The sequence below is a fragment of the Homo sapiens genome, chromosome 2 (assembly GCF_000001405.40).
Source record: "Homo sapiens chromosome 2, GRCh38.p14 Primary Assembly".
In the NCBI taxonomy this organism is placed as follows: Eukaryota; Metazoa; Chordata; class Mammalia; order Primates; family Hominidae; genus Homo; species Homo sapiens.
The window spans coordinates 234,760,770-234,780,008 of record NC_000002.12 but is presented as its reverse complement, the minus strand read 5'-3'; the positions used below and the strand labels follow the sequence as shown (position 1 = coordinate 234,780,008).

General features: G+C 44.9%; 3 annotated features.

Moving 5' to 3' along the window:
- Window positions 6,705–7,204: an enhancer, noted in NCBI's record as "H3K4me1 hESC enhancer chr2:235681449-235681948 (GRCh37/hg19 assembly coordinates)". NCBI's record gives its function as "activates a minimal SCP1, AML or CMV promoter by ChIP-STARR-seq in primed H9 embryonic stem cells {active_cell/tissue: H9 hESC(primed)}" and the evidence as "EXISTENCE:reporter gene assay evidence [ECO:0000049][PMID:30033119]".
- Window positions 7,205–7,706: an enhancer, noted in NCBI's record as "H3K4me1 hESC enhancer chr2:235680947-235681448 (GRCh37/hg19 assembly coordinates)". NCBI's record gives its function as "activates a minimal SCP1, AML or CMV promoter by ChIP-STARR-seq in primed H9 embryonic stem cells {active_cell/tissue: H9 hESC(primed)}" and the evidence as "EXISTENCE:reporter gene assay evidence [ECO:0000049][PMID:30033119]".
- Window positions 13,968–15,167: an enhancer, noted in NCBI's record as "CDK7 strongly-dependent group 2 enhancer chr2:235673486-235674685 (GRCh37/hg19 assembly coordinates)". NCBI's record gives its function as "activates an origin of replication core promoter dependent on BRD2, BRD4, P300/CBP, MED14 and CDK7 cofactors, with strong dependence on CDK7, by STARR-seq in HCT116 cells {active_cell/tissue: HCT116}" and the evidence as "EXISTENCE:reporter gene assay evidence [ECO:0000049][PMID:35650434]".

Genomic DNA, 19,239 nt, shown 5'->3' with positions numbered 1-19,239 from the left:
AATGTTCTTCCATTTGTTTGTGTCCTCTTATTTCGTTGAGCAGTGGTTTGTAGTTGTCCTTGAAGAGGTCCTTCACATCCTTTGTAAGTTGGATTCCTAGGTATTTTATTCTCTTTGAAGTAATTATGAATGGGAGTTCACTTATGATTTGGCTCTCTGTTTGTCTGTTATTGGTGTATAAGAATGCTTGTGATTTTTGCACATTGATTTTGTATCCTGAGACTTTGCACATTGATTTTGTATCCTGGGAGTTGTTTATCAGCTTAAGGAGATTTTGGGCTGAGACTTGGGTTTTCTAAATATACAGTCATGTAATCTGCAAACAGGGACAATTTGACTTCCTCTTTTCCTAATTGAATACCCTTTATTTCTTTCTCCTGCCTGATTGCCCTGGCCAGAACTTCCAACACTATGTTGAATAGGAGTGGTGAGAGAGGGCATCCCTGTCTTGTGCCAGTTTTCAAAGGGAATGCTTCCAGCTTTTGCCCATTCAGTATGATATTGGCTGTGGGTTTGTCATAAACTGCTCGTATTGTTTTGAGTTACGTCCCATCAATACCTAATTGATTGAGAGTTTTTAGCATGAAGGGCTGTTGAATTTTGTCAAAGGCCTTTTCTGCATCTATTGAGATAATCACGTGGTTTCTGTCTTTGGTTCTGTTTATATGCTGTATTACACTGATTGATTTGCGTGTGTTGAATCAGCCTTGCATCCTAGGGATGAAGCCCACTTGATCATGGTGGATAAGCTTTTGGATGTGCTGCTGGATTCGGTTTGCCAGTATTTTATTGAGGATCTTTGCATCGATGTTCATCAGGGATATTGGTCTAAAATTCTCTTTTTTTGTTGTGTCTCTGCCAGGCTTTGGTATCAGGATGATGCTGGCCTCATAAAATGAGTTAGGGAGGATTCCCTCTTTTTCTATTGATTGGAATAGTTTCAGAAGAAATAGTACCAGCTCCTCTTTGTACCTCTGGTAGAATTCGGCTGTGAATCTGTCTGGTCCTGGACTTTTTTTTGGTTGGTAGGCTATTAATTATTGCCTCAATTTCAGAGCCTGTTTTTGGTCTATTCAGGGATTCAACTTCTTCCTGGTTTAGTCTTGGGAGGGTGTATGTGTCCAGGAATTTATCAATTGCTTCTAGATTTTCTAGTTTGTTTGCATAGAGGAGTTTATAGTATTCTCTGATGGTAGTTTGTATCTCTGTGGGATCAGTGGTGATATCCCCTTTATCATTTTTTATTGCGTCTATTTGATTCTTCTCTCTTTTCTTCTTTATTAGTCTTGCTAGTGATCTATCAATTTTGTTGATCTTTTCAAAAAACCAGCTCCTGGATTCATTGATTTTTTTGAAGGGTTTTTTGTGTTTCTATCTCCTTCAATTCTGCTCTGATCTTAGTTATTTCTTGCCTTCTGCTGGCTTTTGAATATGTTTGCTCTTGCTTCTCTAGTTCTTTTAATTGTGATGTTAGTGTGTCAATTTTTGATCTTTCCTGCTTTATCTTGTGGGCATTTAGTGCTAGAAATTTCCCTCTACACACTGCTTTAAATGTGTCCCAGAGACTCTGGTATGTTGTGTCTTTGTTCTCATTGGTTTCAAAGAATATCTTTCTTTCTGCCTTCATTTCGTTATGTACCCAGTAGTCATTCAGGAGCAGGTTGTTCAGTTTCCATGTAGTTGAGCGGTTTTGAGTGAGATTCTTAATCCTGAGTTCTAGTTTGATTGCACTGTGGTCTGAGAGATAGTTTGTTATAATTTCTATTCTTTTACATTTGCTGAGGAGAGCTTTACTTCCAAGTATGTGGTCAATTTTGGAATAGGTGTGGTGTGGTCCTGAAAAAAATGTATATTCTGTTGATTTGGGGTGGAGAGTTCTGTAGATGTCTATTAGGTCTGCTTGGTGCAGAGCTGAGTTCAATGCCTGGATATCCTTGTTAATTTCTGTCTCGTGGATCTGTCTAATGTTGACAGTGGGGTGTTAAAGTCTCCCATTATTATTGTGTGGGAGTCTAAGTCTCTTTGTAGGTCTCTAAGTACTTGCTTTATGAATCTGGGTGCTCCTGTATTGGGTGCATATATATTTAGGATAGTTAGCTCTTCTTGTTGAATTGATCCCTTTACCATAATGTAATGGCCTTCCTTGTCTCTTCTGATCTTTGTTGGTTTAAAGTCTGTTTTATCAGAGACTAGGATTGCAACCCCTGCTTTTTTTTTGTTTTCCATTTGCTTGGTAGATCTTCCTCCATCCCTTTATTTTGAGCCTATATGTGTCTCTGCACATGTATTCAGTGTCCTGAATACAGCACACTGATGGGTCTTGACTTTTTATCCAATTTGCCAGTCTGTGTCTTTTAATTGGAGCATTTAGCCCATTCACATTTAAAGTTAATATTGTTATGTGTGAATTTTATCCTGTCATTATGATGTTAGCTGGTTATTTTGCTCGTTAGTTGATGTAGTTTCTTCCTAGCATCAATGGTCTTTACAATTTGGCATGTTTTTGCAGTGGCTGGTACCGGTTGTTCCTTTCCATATTTAGTGCTTCCTTCAGGAGCTCTTGTAAGGCAGGCCTACTGGTGACAAAATCTCTCAGCATTTATTTGTCTGTAAAGGATTTTATTTCTCCTTCACATATGAAGCTTAGTTTGTCTGGATATGAAATTCTGGGTTGAAAATTCTTTTCTTTAAGAATGTTGAATATTGGCCCCCACTCTCTTCTGGCTTGTAGAGTTTCTGCTGAGAGATCCGCTGTTAGTCTGATGGGCTTCCTTTTGTGGGTAACCCGACCTTTCTCTCTGGCTGCCCTTAACATTTTTTCCTTCATTTCAACTTTGGTGAATCTGACAATTATGTGTTTTGGAGTTGCTCTTCTTGAGGAGTATCTTTGTGGCATTCTCTGTATTTCTTGGATTTGAATGTTGGCCTGCCTGGCTAGGTTGGGGAAGTTCTCCTGGATAATATCCTGAAGAGTGTTTTCCAATTTGGTTCCATTCTCCCCGTCACTTTCAGGTACACCAATCAGACATAGATTTGGTCTTTTCACATAGTCCCATATTTCTTGAAGGCTTGGTTCATTTCTTTTTACTGTTTTTTCTCTAAACTTCTCTTCTTGCTTCATTTCATTCATTTGATCTTCAATCACTGATACCCTTTCTTCCAGTTGATCAAATCAGCTACTGAAGCTTGTGCATGCATCATGTAGTTCTTGTGCCACGGTTTTCAGCTCCATCAGGTCATTTAAGGTCTTCTCTATGCTGTTTATTCCAGTTAGCCATTCGTCTAATCTTTTTTCAAGGTTTTTAGCTTCTTTGCCATTGGTTCGAACATCCTCCTTTATCTCAGAGAAAGTTGTTATTACCAATCGTCTGAAGCCTTCTTCTCTCAACTCGTTAAAATCATTCTCCATCTAGCTTTGTTCTATTGCTGGCAAGGAGCTGCATTCCTTTTGAGGAGAAGAGGCACTGTGATATTTAGAATCTCCAGCTTTTCTGCTCTGGTTTCTCCCCATTTTTTTTTTTATCAAAGTTTTATCTAACTTTGATCTTTGATGATGGTGACGTACAGATGGGGTTTTGGTGTGGATGCCCTTTCTGTTTGTTAGTTTTCCTTCTAACAGTCAGGACCCTCAGCTGCAGGTCTGTTGGGGTTTGCTGGAGGTCCACTCCAGACCCTGTGTGCCTGGGTATTATCAGCAGAGGCTGCAGAACAGCAAATATTGCAGAACGGCAAATGTTGCTGTCTGATCATTCCTCTGGAAGTTTTGTCTCAGAGGGCACCTGGCTGTATGAGGTGTCAGTCGGCCACTACTGGGAGGTGTCTCCCAGTTAGGCTACTTGGGGGTCAGGGATCCACTTGAGGAGGCAGTCTGTCCATTCTCAGATCTCAAACTCCATGCTGGGAGAATGACTACTCTCTTCAAAGCTATTAGACAGGGATGTTTAAGTCTGCAGAAGTTTCTGCTGCCTTTTGTTCAGCCATGCCCTGCCCTCAGAGGTGGAGTCTACAGAGGCAGGCAGGCCTCCTTGAGCTGTGGTGGGCTCCACTCAGTTCAGGCTTCCAGGCCACTTTGTTTACCTACTCAAGCCTCAGCAATGGTGGGCCCCCCTCCTCCAGCCTCGATGCCACCTTGCAGTTCGATCTCAGACTGCTGTGCTAGCAATGAGGGAGGATCCGCGGGCGTGGGACCCTCTGAGCCATGCTTGGGATATAATCTCCTGGTGTGTCATTTGCTAAGACCATTGGAAAAGCACAGTATTAGGGTGGGAGTGACCCGATTTTCCAGGTGCCATCTGTCATGGCTTCCCTTGGCTAGGAAAGGGAATTCCCTGACCCCTTGCGCTTCCTGGGTGAGGTGATGCCTCACCCTGCTTTGGCTAACGGTCCATGGGCTGCACCCACTGTCCTGTACCCACTGTCTGATAAGCCCCAGTGAGATGAACCCAGTACCTCAGTTGGAAATGCAAAAATCACCCATCTTCTGCGTCGCTCACACTGGGAGCTGTAGACTGGAGCTGTTCCTCCATTGTATCTAATTGTTTTCATCTATCAGGTATGATCTTGTCACTTGAACATCTTAAGAGAGAGGTACTATTTGCCAAACCTCAAACAGTTCTATTTGTTCTGTGTGCCTTGAGTAATAATTTAATCCAAAAATGGAGACATGTTTATTAATAGGCTATAGAATATTTTTCAGAGCCAAAGCAGAAGACGTGGTGACTGTTAGCCCTGAAGGCAGAGTTTTTCTGCTTAAGGAGTGAAGTAATGCAGAGACAGGGTGGAAGGAGAGAAAAGAAAAATGAATAAGATTTATTATAAGGGGAAAATAATGAAGAACTCTGCAGAATCATTCCCTGAAATTTACTTAAGAAATAGAGACTTTTGCTCTTTCTCCCCCTCCTCCCCCTTCTCTTCCTCTCTTTCTTTCCCCCTCCCTTTCTCCCTCCTTATTTTATTTTATTTTATTGTTGGTTTTTTGAGATGGAGTCTCACTCTGTCACCCAGGCTGGAGAGCAGTGGCGTGATCTCAGCTCACTGCAACCTCTACCTCCCAGGTTCAAGCAATTCACCTGCCTCAGCCTCCCAAGTAGCTGGGACTACGGGCGTGTACCATCACGCCCGGCTAATTTTTTTATATTTTTGGTAGAGACGGGGTTTCACCATATTGGCCAGGCTGGTCTCGAACTCCTGATCTCAAATGATCCACCCACTTAGGCCTCCCAAAGTGCTGGGATTACAGGCATGAGCCACCGCGCCTGGCCTTCTTTCATTTTAGGGGCAGCAGAGTGGAGCTTGTTTTGGGCCCTGATGAACTTGGATGATTTTCTGTCCCTGTTTCCTTATCGTACCTTACTGTACCTACCTTTTAGCTTTATTATGAGGCCTACTGAGTTAATATTTGTAAATCACTTAGAACAGTATCTGGGAATATGTGTTTGTTACATAAAATAAAGACTTAGCTCACAATGAGATTCACTGAGAAAACTGCAAGTATGTCAGAGAAAATTTTGCGTTGGCTCAGAACCAAGAGTGACTTACAAACACTTCTAAACTGTACCTGGAAGACATAGATCAGTGGCCTACATTTCAGTCACATATGCTAGACAGTTTTCTCTACCTTGTCTATGACAGTACATTTATTTCTCCTCTATTTGCCTTCAGATTACATTACAAAGTTGGCTAGTTTAAACAACAATCTGTGTTGTTAACCATCCTCTACTCTGCTGAAAAGGGAACTTCACCAACCAAAGGCAAACAGGAAGGTTAGTTAGGTTATGTAAGTCTGTGTACGGCCTGCAATCTAGATATTGCCAAAGCGGGATGAGGGGCATGGCAGCCTGGTCCCAGCAGAGCAGCAGGTGGGGATGATGTCACAAAGACATGGCAGCCCCAACACAAATCCTAACACTAAGATCACCATGGCAGAGAGCGGGCGGCCATGTAGATGCACATCCATGACTATCATGTGACTATTAAATCGTGTGACAAAAAAGAGGCCACAGTTGTTCACCAGCCACAGCTTTCAAAACAGGACTTGCTGGCAGGTGAGGCCAGTGTCACATGTCTTTAGAACCATCCAGGCAGCAGTTGCATGGCCCTAGGCATTTAAGATGACCTCAGAGTTGGGTTCCCCTCCCCACCACTTATCTTTAGGTTACTTGAGCAAGTTATTCAGCCTTTCTGAATTTAAGTTCTCAATAGCTCAATTGATGCCCTTATGGAAGGATTACTGTGAAGCTTCCATGAAGGATACACATAGCTTCTCTGAGCACAGTGCTTTGTGCATAGCAGATGGTCAGAAAATGTTCATTTTCTCTCCTGCTTCCATTTCTGCTCCTTGGCTGCTTGCATTTGAAGCAGGAATAAAACCTAGCTATTTCCCTGAAGAGTTCAACAAGTGTTGTATTACAGAGACAAGGCTGAGCCATTTCTTTCTTAAAAGGTCACTAACTATACGAAATTAGTCCCCATGATAAGGGAGTTTGCCTCTCGAGTCCAGAAAGTCACATGAGGGGGCAGGCAATCTGGCATATCGTGGGGACTTCAATGCAGTGGAAGTGATGGTGGTACCGAAGGGACCTGGCCACTGTCATTGACAGATGTGACTGAAAGATCAGGGGAGCTGCTTCTCCAAGACAGGCCAGGTGCATTTCCAGGCACATTTGCAAATTTCCAGAAACTGCAAGTCACCGTGCTCCCTTGTCTCCCAAGGTCCTGGAGGGCAGTCTGTTCTCCTCTGGGGAGAAGTCCATTTACACTGCAGAGTGGGCGTGATGCAGTCTCAGCATGGGCATTTGTCCCTGTCCTTCCCATTACTCTGCCCCCCTCCAGCCTCTTCTCAATATTCCTGCTCTCCAGTTCATTACTGGACAGCAGAGCCCAGCACTGGGCTATTCTAGAGCAGCATCTTTTTGGCACCAGGGACTGTGGAAGACAATTTTTCCATGTTTCCATGTTGGCTGGGGGAGGTGGGGTGAGTTGAGTGGGGCTGTGGGCATTAGATTCTCGTAAGGAACGTGCAACCTAGATCCCTCCTGTGTGCAGTTCACAATAGGATTGAAGCTCCTATAAGAATCAAATGCTGCTGATCTGACAGGAGGTGGAGCGCGGGCGGGAATGCTTTCTAGCCTGCTGCCGTCCTCCCTGCTGTGCGGCCAGTTCCTAACAGGCCATGGTGTGTGGCTGTGGCTCAGGGGTTGGGGATCCTGGTTCTAGAGGACAGGAGGAGAGAAGAAAAAGAAGTCGGCTGCTACTTTCAGGAAGAGCTCAGTGGTATGCAAGCCAATCTTCGGGTTGACCTAGCCTGCTTTGTAGCAGCAATTTCACCCTTCACCCTGCCAGTGGCCCGGTTAGTGGTGAAAACCTCCAAGTGGGAAGGAGGATCCATTAGAATAAATCATGAGGAACTCCTCAGTCTGTCTCTCCAGCCCTGTCCTTGGATCTCCAGTTCATCGACTAAATCCAGCTGCCTGCTGACAGCTGTGTGGGGGGTGGAGCAGAGGAGATGTCAAGGGTGCACTGAAATGGAATTGGCCCCAACCCACTGCTTCATTTCCAAGGCTTCCCTTATCCCCCACCTGGACCCGTTTCTCTTCCAGTTCTCCTTTGCTGAAGCCAAATACAGAACTTACCTAGTTCCTGTCCTGCCCTCACCCCTCTCTAAACGAGTCCTGTTTCTGAAACATGTCATAGCTCTGCTCTTCTCTGTCCCCCACTGTGTCATATTGTCCGAGCCATCATCCCTTCCCACCTGGATTACCCTGGTAACCACCTACACGGATATGGCTGCTTCTGGCTCATTGTGTTAGTTTGTCAGGGCTGCTGTAACAAATCACCGCCAACTGGGTGGAGTAAACCACAGGCATTTACTGTCTCGGTGCTGGAGCCTGGAAGTTCGAGGTCAGAGCATCAGCAGGGCTGATTCCTTCTGAGGCCATGAGGGAGAATCTGTTCTAGGACCTTCTCCTGGCCTCGGGGGTTTGCTGGCAATCTTTGGAGTTTTTTGGCTTAGAGGAGCATCACCTTGGCTTCTGCCATTATTTTCACATCATTTTCCCTCTATGTGTGTCTGTCTCTGTCCCAATTTCCCCTCTTCATAAGGACGCCAGTTGTATTGTATAAGGGCTCACCTGAATTACTGCATTATAACTTGATCATCTCTGTAAAGACCCTATTTCCAAACAAGGCCACATTCTGAAGTACTGCGGGGGCTAGAACTTCAATCTATCTTTTTTGGGAAGACACAATTCAACCCTTAAAGCCGTCTAATTCATTCTCCCTACAGCAGTGAGCATTCTTTGAAAAGGCAAATCAGAGCCCATCATTCTCCTGTCCCAACCCTCTAGCCGATTCCCTTGCACTGAACTGAAATTCTGAGCCCCTTATCCCTGGCTGGCATACAGAAGCCCCATTTATCTTGTCCCATCCACCTCCCTACCTTCCTCCTGTCCTACTTCAGCCTTTTGTCTGTTCCTTAGATACAGCAAGCTCCTCCCCATCTTAAAGATTTTGCAGTAACCCTCTCTTCTTTCTAGGAAGCCCTGTCTCCTGTTTGGTCTGTGACTGACTACTTCCTGTGGTTCAGATCTCAGCTTAAATGTCACCTCTGCAGGGGGCCACTTTGACCCCCAGCTCAAAATCAGACATCTCATCCCACCCCTTACACCACCCCATTGCAATGCTCGGAATGGCCCTTATCAGTGTCTTGTTATTCATTTTATTTCTGCCTTCCACTCTAACCCCTCTTAGAACATCAGCCCCGGTTGGGGGGTGGGGGGCATGGACTTGTCTGTCTGGTTCATTATTAAACCCCCAGCAGTAAGAGGAGTGCCTGGCTCCTAGCTGGCACTCGGTAAATACAGGTCAGATGAATGAATAAATAGATCTGTCCCTGCTCTCTTTTAGCCATGTTTTTGGCTAATTTTGGATGCTGGTAGGCACTTTGTTCTGGCAGAATTTTGTAGGGCAGGGTTTCTCAACCTCACCAAGATGGAAACATTGTAGCTGAGTAATTATTTGTTTAAGAGGTGTCCTGTGCATTGTAGGATTTTTACCAACAGCCCTGAACTTTACCCACTAGATTCCAGGAGCAACCCCCCACTCCTAGGTTGGGACAACCCAAATTGTCTCTAGGTATTACCAAATTTCTCCTGTGGGGCAAAATCCACCCCTGCCCCCTACCACTCAGTCATCTCCATTGCAGGGCCAGCCACAGCTCTTACAGGACAGCTGTAAGAACAAGAGTTCTGGGAGGCTTTCAATTACACCCATCTCCAAGTGGAACTCTCCAGGCTAAGAGGATGATGACCACCAGCAGGTAACGCAGTGAAGTTGGTGGCCTGTCCCAGGAGAAAGCAGAGTGCAGGCTGTGGGGCAGACAGACCTGATCTTGATCCCAGCTCCATCTCGCACTAGCTGGGTAAAGTAGACAAGCCACTTAGCTTATATTCAGAATGGAGATGGGTGGGATTGCTAGGTGGGGTTAGTAGGAGACAGTGGATACAAACACAAGGCCTGGTGCAGGATCACGCGCTGTAGGAGCTGGGCTAATGCGGCACTCACAGCAGGGAGCTCCGGGCTCCTGGTAAGGATGGCATGGAGAGCGCAGGGAGAAAGGGGACTTGGCAGCCGTCCACTGAGGCCTATACTCATATCCAATTAACATACTTGCTCTAATTCTCTGGTCCTTTGACTCACTAATTTTCTGGTTCCACAAAGCCTGACTGTGCCGTGAGCATCTGCAGCTGGCCAGGGCCTCAGGGAGGCTGTGGGAAGGTGGAGAGAGAGGCAGCCCAGCCGGCAGCTGGGCGAAGAGCCTCCCAGCACAGATCTCTTTTTATCAGCGCTGAATTCCCCCAGCCAGTAAGTACCCCCTGCAAAGGGGTGCGGGTCCTCCCTCCCAACTCCTGCACATTTTCCTTTTGTGACTTCATTCTGCTTCCCAGGCTCTTCTTGGCATGAGCTGAGGGGCAGAGGTTATTGGGAGGAAAAGAGAGCAAAAGCTAAAACATAAGAAAGCGCATCTGATCCTCTTAAAAGAGTCTTTCAAACAGCTACACGGGCATCCACTGTGAGGCCTGAAATATTTATATCCAGCAAAGGATCTATGGGAAATGCCTCCCTGATTTGAGGACAGCTGTAAGAACAAGAGTTCTGGGAGGCTTTCAAAGTGGGAGAACAGAAGAAACCACATTTGAACTTCTCTTAACTTAAAAAAAAAAAATAGCCTACCCAATTAACTAACTGAATTCTAAGGAGATAAGCAAAATTATTGTTAATTTATTTTATTTATTAGAGACAGGATCTCACACTATCACTCAGGCTGGAGTACAGTGGTGTGATCTCAGCTCACTGCAGCCTCGACCTCCTGGGCTCAAGCAATCCTCTAGCCTCAGGCTCCCAAGTAGCTGGTACTACAGGCACGCACCACCATGCCCAGCTAATTTTTTTGCTTTTTGGTGGAGGTGAGGTCTTACTATGTTTCACAGGCTGGTTTCAAACTCCTGGGCTCAAGCAATCCTCCCACCTTGGCCTTGAAAAGCGCGGGATTACAGGCATGAGCACAGTGCCTAGCCTTAATTAATGTTAAATTAGTTTAAAATGTATTACACCTAAGGTATTTGTGGGGCAGGTGATGGAGGGAGGTGGTAGTGGCTGGAGTGGGGACTGTCCTTGGCAGATGGCGTCCACTTCTAGGGCCAGCTCTATGGGCAAGTCTCAATAGGAGTGACACTGGAGGTTGTATCAGAACCAAGGTACAAATAGGTTGAAAGTCTCAGGAGTAGAAACAGAGCGCCATGGGAGCTATGGAGAGCCAGCAGGTCTGCAGAACCAGGCTCAGGGGCCAGGGCCTCAGTGAGACCAGGGCAAACCTTCTTCTCAGGGGAGGAAGAGGGTGAATCGAGTCCCAGCTTCACAGCCTCCCAACTTGAAACTGCAGGAGAGAGCAACTGTTGCTACCAGCACACATGCATTTGTCCTGGGAAAGGTGACGGCTCGGGGGTCATGGCCAGCCCTGGACTGAACCCTGTGATTGCTGCTGTGATGGCTGGGATGGGCTCGCAGGCTGTCTCTGTACCCGGCTGTACCAACAGGGGTTGGGGTTATTTTAGAAAGGAAAGGGAGGGGTAGAATTGTGTCTGGCAGTCACCACCCCATGACTAACTCTCAAATGGTGGGTCATGTTCCAAAGCTCACTTCATTCAGAGAGGAACGAGTTGGCCAGACTCTTGAATTGGCTTTGCATGAACCTAAGAGGAACAAGAGGATTCCACTGATTTTTTAGATCTGAGTGTGTTGTCTTGTCTCAGGCGGACCTGCACTTGGAGCCCCAGAGGCAAAGGCAGGCGTAACCCTTCTGTGGTGGCTGCTGGGGTTCTTCTGGGAGCCCCGTCTGAGGACTTCCATGACCCCAATCTCATCCTTTCCCCTGATGTTCCAGGGCATGGCTTGAAGCAGGGAGCAGTGTGCTCTGGTGCCTGACCAGGGTGACATTTGCTGCAGTGGTGACTTTACCACTACTTTACTTTTTGTCACTAAGAAGTTTGGAAAATGAGTGCACCATCATAGTGTGTTTATTGTGTCCCCAAAAGATGTGTCTGAGTCCAAACCCTGGTTCCTCAGAATGTGACCTTGTTTGGGGACAGAGATGCTACAAATGTAATTGGTTAAGATGAGGTCATCCTGGATTGGAGTGGGCCTACTCCAATGTGACGGGTGTCTTTATAAGAAAAGACAGAGAGAGAGAGAGAGAGAACGAACACACAAATACCCCATGAAGACACAGACACAGAGGGCAGAAGGCTGTGTGAGGACAGAGGCAGAGGTTGGAGAGATGCCGCCATAAATCAAGGAACACCTGGAGCCACCAGGTGCTATTTCTTGCCTAAGATCCTCCAAGCAAGGATTCCTCCCTAGGACCTTAAGATGGAGCTTGGCCATATGACACCTTGATTTTGGACTTCCCATCTCAAGAACCATGAGAGAACAAATTTCTGTTGTTTTAAGTCACCCAGTTTTACAGTCCTTTGTCATAGTCATTCTAGGACATGCATATACCATCTCAAGGGGTTGTCTGCTTATGTTTGTTTTATGTGTGCATGCATGAGCTTTGTAATCCATCCAATCACATCCCTCATTCTAGTACAACAGGATCCCAAGTAACCTCAACTTTCATAATTATGATTAGAAAAATAAGTAAACATCTGACACATTTCCTATTTTTCTGGGTTATAAAGTCTTATCTGCTCTTCATAGGATCCATGGGGAAGGTAATGTGTGCACAGTTCACACACATTCAGCTCACTCTCCACCATAAGTGTTAAGATTTCAAGGGAGGTGTGGCCATTCCCAGTTCACACTGAGGCCCAGAAGACTGAATGGCTCCTGTAGTTTAGAACTAATCAGAGTGACTCTTTGGTTTCTGCCAATGAAGACCCAACCCAAGTAGCTCCAGCAAAGGGGCAGGTGTTTCCTGTGACCCCCCTCAGGGAGGAAAGCCCAGCTGGCCTTGGCAATGGTGGAATTTGGGCTCTGTCCTTCTTCCTAGTCAGTGCCCCTCGGAGTGGGCTGCTCTCTCTCCTCCCAGCCCCACAGGGCAGGAGACCTGGCTGCTCACATCAGCCCATCTTGGCCACTCGAGAAGAACTGACTGGCTTCCCTTGATTCCTGGTAGAAAATCCTGGGAAAAGATGGCTTGAATCATGGTGTGTAGGTTCTTACATTTGGATCAGTCACCTGTGAGCAGAGATTGGAGCCCTGTGATCAGCCAGGTGGGCATTTCAGCCCTAGACCACCACTGTGGCCAGGGAGTCAGGTTCTGGAGGAAGACAGCAGCTCCCAGTGGAACCACGTGATTGGAAGGAGTTTCCCAAAGGGGCAGACAAATGGATGGCGCCTGCTAGGAGCAGAGCTGGAAGTGGTAGCTGATAGAGCCAAGATCCTCCCCTCACTTGGGGGGCGCATGTGGGTGTTTAGAGGCCCAGTACTGTACTCTGAAGTCCTCAGCAATCCTTTAAGAATGTGATCCTGGTTCATGCCTGGTGGTCATTTAGATGAATTTGATGAGATTTGCTCACAGGCGACCTAGAAGCCAGTACTGTGTCTACAGGGAGTAGACAGTCAACAGAAGCGGGTTAGATAAGACTGGGGTGATCTCAAGCTGTGTCAGGGCCCGCCATGCTGATGCGGATCTTCCCCATTGTTACTCATCTCATAGGAATCACCCCCAAATTAAGGTTTAATCATTTATGCATTTGAAAAAAAAACCCATTTAGAATTTTACAAAAGATATTGTATTAGAGTTCTCCAGGGAAACAGAACCAATAAGATCACATAAAATTCACCATTGCAGAGACTAAAAGTGCATTTCTGTAAAATGGAACATGGCTACACCATTTAAGTCTTAAAGACAATGCTTTCCTTGCCTTGTTTGGATTAGTTTGATGGTAGTTCAGATGGTTTTGGCCATGATGTGAAACTGCGTTTGCTGTATTTTGCACACATGCATCAAGCCTTATTATTAAAAGACAGAGCTGAGATATAAAGATTGCAGTTTGCACAATACAAAATACTGTTTTTTTAAAAAAAGTTATGTTCCTTTATATAAATAATTTTTAAAAGTTCTTTATTGAGAACACTATTATTGCAGAAAGAAAGATAGCATCCTCTATAATTAAGAGTGAAAACATTTCCTCATGGTCAATATTTACTGTCATGTCTACTATTAACTTTCAGAAACTTCCCCTCTGTAACAGAAACATGAACTGAGAAAAAAAAAAGGAAAAACTAATTAAATCAAAACTTTCTCTTTTAGTTTTCTAAGATTTATCAGTGGTTAATTTTAGGACAAAACTACATTTGAGCATTTACCACTAAAGTAATACGACAAAAAGTCTTAATGTTTCATGTTGGGTTGTAACATGATTCTAACACTGGAATGGTGTTGGATTTAGTCACCATTCAGCCATCCACCTTTCTATGAATCCATTCTTCCACACATCTCTCCTTCAAATATTCATAGAGGACCTAGTAGATTCCAGACACCATCCTAACTTCTGGGCATGAGACATAAATAAGAGATTCCCTACCTTCAGAAGGCTTCTCTTCTATTAAGTGATGAAAAGACACAAAATAATTATTCTGTGAATGGTAAGTACTGCAATGGACATGAGGAGATGTTACTTTGGGAGCACATTGGGAAGGACGTAATCATAGCTACCTTCACCTGAGCGAGCACTCATTAGGTGAAGGGGTTTACATAGATTATCTCATTTCATCCTCTCAATAGCCCAGTGATGCAGGCACTGTTATCCTCCTCTTCATTTTACAGGGGAGGCCACTGGGACACAGAGGGTTGGAATATCTTACCCAAGATCTGACAGCTAGGAAGTGCAGGAGCCTCCTCTCGGGTCCTACATTCCATCTGAGGACTGGATCCTGCTGGAAGAAGGAAGGAGGTTTATCCAGGGAGGGTGTGCAGGTAGGAGGCTGTCGTGATTCATCACGGGAAGTCAATAAAGGGTGAATAAGGGCAGTGGGAGGGGCCAAGGACAGCAGTGGGGATGGTCAGAGGGGCCAGCACATCACATGAGATGACCGACTGGCTGTAGGGTGTGAGGGGAGGAGGGAGGCCAGTAGAGTGCCCTTGTTTCCAGCTGGGGGCTGCCATCAAAGCGGGCACTGTTCACTCAATCAGGAAGGAGTGCAGCAGGTGGAGGAGGCTGGGTGGGAAGCAGGTGGGTTCAGCTGTAAAATAAACCTTATTCAGTTGATGACCATGCATTCTGAAGTCCCTGCACACTTTGAAATCTCTGAGAAGAGGTCCTGCCGAGTCCTTCTGCAGCTGCTCTCAAGCTAGGAACGGCGGGGCTGCTCCTGACCGCTGCTTCTCCCCCAGCCCTGGGTGGGGGGCTGTGAATACCCTTTGGGTCCTCTTCAGGCTTCTCAGGAGCAGGGAAGGAAGGCCAGCACAACTGCGGATGCCCTGGAAAAGCCAGCCCACAGCCGGGGTCCCTGTGAGACAGCAGGAATCTGTCAGTGTCCCTGAGGAATTGGGGATCCCAGAGTGGGGACAGGGAGGCCCAGGGGAGGGGCTGGGGAAGGGACAGCTTCTTGTAGCCACATCCACCAGGAGCCAAGCCCCAGGCCCTGAATTTCATCCAGATAGACACTCAGGAGATTGGGAATTTATCTTTGTGTCAAAGGTGCTTACCGGATTCACCTGCCAAATGTTGACTTTATGCCGATTTACATATCCTATGTTAATTAGCTTTCTTAATACTGATATTTCCTAGAGTGTTTGCAAGATATTGTGTCAGGGGAAAAATATTTTCTTGTTGCATGAAAGGTACTCCTAAACTCAGCACCTGGTGAACCAAGGGGGATCATCATAAACATGTTAACAGGAGGCCTTCTGAGCAGGAACCACAGCAGGGTAATGCAATCATGAAAATCCTGTAAATACATTCCATTCAACCAAACCTCCTTAAATGGCTTCCAGCCCACATTTCCTAAAGGTTGTAACTTACTCTTAAGATTACAAAGATCTGGCTGGGCGAGGTGGTGGCTCATACCTGTAATCCCAGCACTTTGGGAGGCTGAGGCAGGCGGATCACTTGAGGTCAGGAGTTGGAGACTAGCCTGGCCAACATGGTAAAACCCCATCTCTATTAAAAATACAAAAATTAGCTGGTGTGAAAATTAGCTGGGTGTGGTGGCACGTGCCTGCAATCCCAGCTACTCAGGAGGCTGAGGCAGGAGAATCACTTGAACCTGGGAGGCGGAGGTTGCAGTGAGCCAAGATCATGCCACTGCACTCCAGCCTGGGCGACAGAGCAAGACTCCGTCTCAAAAAAAAAAAAAAAAAAATTACAAAGATCTTTTCAATCAAATGAATTGTTATGGTTTGAATTGGGTGCCTCCAAAGGTGTCAAAGTCTAGCCCCCAGTGCCCAAGAATGTGGCCTTATTTGGAAATAAGGTCTTTGAAGATAATCAAGTTAAGATGAAGTCATTAGAGTTAGTTCTAATCCAACAGGACTGTCCTTACAGAAAGATGAAATTTGAACATAGAGACAGGCAGGCATAGTGAAGACACAAGGAGGAGAGGGCCTTCTGCAAGCCGAGAGAGGCCTCGAGAGACCCTCCCTCCCAGCCCTCAGAATGAATGAATCACCCTGTTGACACCTTGATCATGGACTTCCGGCTCCTAAAACTGTGAGAAAACAAATGCCTGTTGCTTAAGCTGAGCAATCTGTGGTGCTTTGATATAGCAACCCTGGCAAACTCATACATGAGTTATCTCGAAGTTTGCATTTCGAAACTGCATCATTCCCACATCTGTGCTGGAAAATTATAATGGCTGCTGGACTGGGACTATGTATACATGAGAGAGCATGCCGGAGTTTACAGTCGGGCCAAGAGAAGATATCTCTGCTGCACAAAACTGAAAGGCATGGTGAGAGATGAGAAAAGTGGCACCCTGGTCACACTCCTCTGTGCTATGGCCATGCAACCTGGCACACTTGCTTCCTGGAGCCTGAGGTCTTGTGGGGCTCCCTCCAGGCTGAGCCTGCTAATGACTTCCTTCGAGGGCTGAGCATCAGAGTCACTGCAGTGCTTGTGGAAAATGTGGTTTCTATGGCCCCACCAGCCCAACACAATCAGACCCGGAGGGTGGGGCTGCAGATGTGCATTTCCACGAACACTCTTCAGGGATTGGACATGCTCCATGGGAACTGGACGAGCAAGGCTTAACTTTGCTTCTGTCAAACTACAACACAAAGGCAGTGAGCTCTAAGGAGGGCTACTACGTGCTTTAGGCCACTTCCGGAACCCTAGGACTGTTAATTTATTTAATCATTAGTCTGGTATTTTTAAAAAAGTCATGATTTCTTTTCTCGCCAATAAAAACACTGCTATTCTCTATGCATGCCTAAATTCTTTTCAGAGCCAGTTAACATAATTTATTTAATACGAGTCAAGATGACAATGAAGTAAATCAACTCTTGATTTGGTAACAGAGTTGCATTTCTCTGGGCAAGAGTAAGCTGAAGTAATTAACCAGTACCTTAAAGCTGATGATCATATTGCAAGAAGCAAAGAGAAATTGTTAATTTTTTTTTTTTGAGTTGGAGTCTTGCTCTGTCGCCCAGACTGGAGTGCAGTGGTGCGATCTTAGTTCACTGCAGCCTCTGCCTCCTGGCTTCAAGTGATTCTCCTGCCTCAGTCTCTCGAATAGCTGGGACTACAGGTGTCCGCCATAATGCCTGGCTAGTTTTTTTGTATTTTTACTAGAGACAGGGTTTCACCATGTTGGTCAGGCTGCTCTCAAACTCCTGACCCCAAATGATCCTCCTGCCTTAGCCTCCCAAAGTGTTAGGATTACATCTGTGAGCCGCCGTGCCTGGCCAGAAATTGTTAAAAATTTAATAATGAATATATAAGTTGGATAAAAATAGAGAAAAGATTGGGTAAAGATGATAAAGACCAAAATAGAAATTGTATGCTCCCAAGCACAATGTAGGATGAAGGAGACAGGAATTTGGAGTCAAAAATTCAGGTTTGCATTGCAATTCCAGCCTATGTGCAAATCAATCTGAGTCTATTTTATCATTTATAAAAATGATAATAGGAATAAGGAGAGAATGTTTGTGATAATGTGCAGCAGAATACCGCTCTCAGAGAAGTCTGTATTGGATTTCAGTTTCTTTTATTATTAAAAAGAAGAACAAGCTCTTACAAGGGTACTACATGTTTTGGGAAACTACTAAGAGTGGTCCTTCATTAAAAGCAGACATGGTATGTATTGGCAATCTTTCAAAAGTGAGTAATCACTTGCTGACACCTCGACCTTTATTGCTCGAGATGAGGTCTGTGGACCATCCCACTGACAGCACCCAGGAGCTGGTGGAGATGCAGAATGTCTGGCCTTACGCCAGACCCACTGGCCTGGAACCTGAATTTAAAAAGATTCCCAGGCGTATCACATGCACATTAAAACTGGAAAATACTGCCCTGGCCTGCTGGATTGGGGAGAGATTCAGGACAGGTTTTTGGCTTACAGAAACATAAAAGTGTCCCTACTAATGTTTATATATATGTGAGATACGATATAATATGATATGATATAATACAATATAATATAGCAGAACATAATATAATTTACCAATTCAAGAATTTCAAATTGGGTTAGACACTCCTCTTTTAAAAAACAAGTAGAAGATTTTTGGAAGCCGGTAGTGCAGTCGCCACATAGTTTTTAGATCTTCCTAAATCCCACGTGAAAACAGACAGAATATCTGCATAGCCAAACAAAATTAACGAACAACATTTACAAAAGAGCTAGATGACAAGATATTTTCATAACCTCTGAAATTTAGTTGGTGGGGACACATTGCCAGTAGCTACAAGACTTGTGTGTTATCAGCTTCTTGGGAGATAAATTGGAATGAAGAATCAGGGTGTCAGACCTTGGAAAAGGAGAACCCACAAAATAACCAACAGCTATTCACTGGAAAGCATGGTGGGCCAACCAGAGAAGAGAAGATTAGAGTAGAGTATTTTACCTGCTGTGATTGTAGAGAAATGCTCAGAGCCCTTGGTAAGGTCTGAAAGGCTGGAGGAGTCTGATCCTGAGAACACTTGACGCTGGCCAGCCGGAACTTTCTAGCTGGATAGGACCCTACAGTGAGGAGCAACTGCTGGAGCAGAATCATGTGGACATGGAGGTGAAGAGAACGGTTTAGATAAAAACAGGGCAAGAAAACACAGCCAGAAAATCTCAGAAAGCTAGCCTCTCTATATATAATTTAACATAAATAACACAATGTATACAAATATATATTTAACACTATGTGAAAACAATTCTAAAAATTCAGGTTAATTGAATTCACTCAAAGATGAGCAACCAAAAAACATCAAGATTAAATTCCATGCTAAGTTACTATAGTAACTTATGAAAAGAAGAGCAGAATAACATCCTTGTATACTAGGAAAAGATGTTTAAAATAAACAGATCAAAACTGTAACATCTTTTCAAAAGGAATTAAAAGACATTAAGAATAATATGCAAGATATAAATGAGAAAAACTCAGAATGTGGTGACAGAACTCAAGATTTATTGACTTAAGAGTTAGAAATAAGAAAGATAATCATTTCATCATAAAGATTAAACAGGCAAAGAGGATCCAAAATATGGGTAATAGGAGCCTCTGAGAAAGACCATCAAAACCTAGCACTA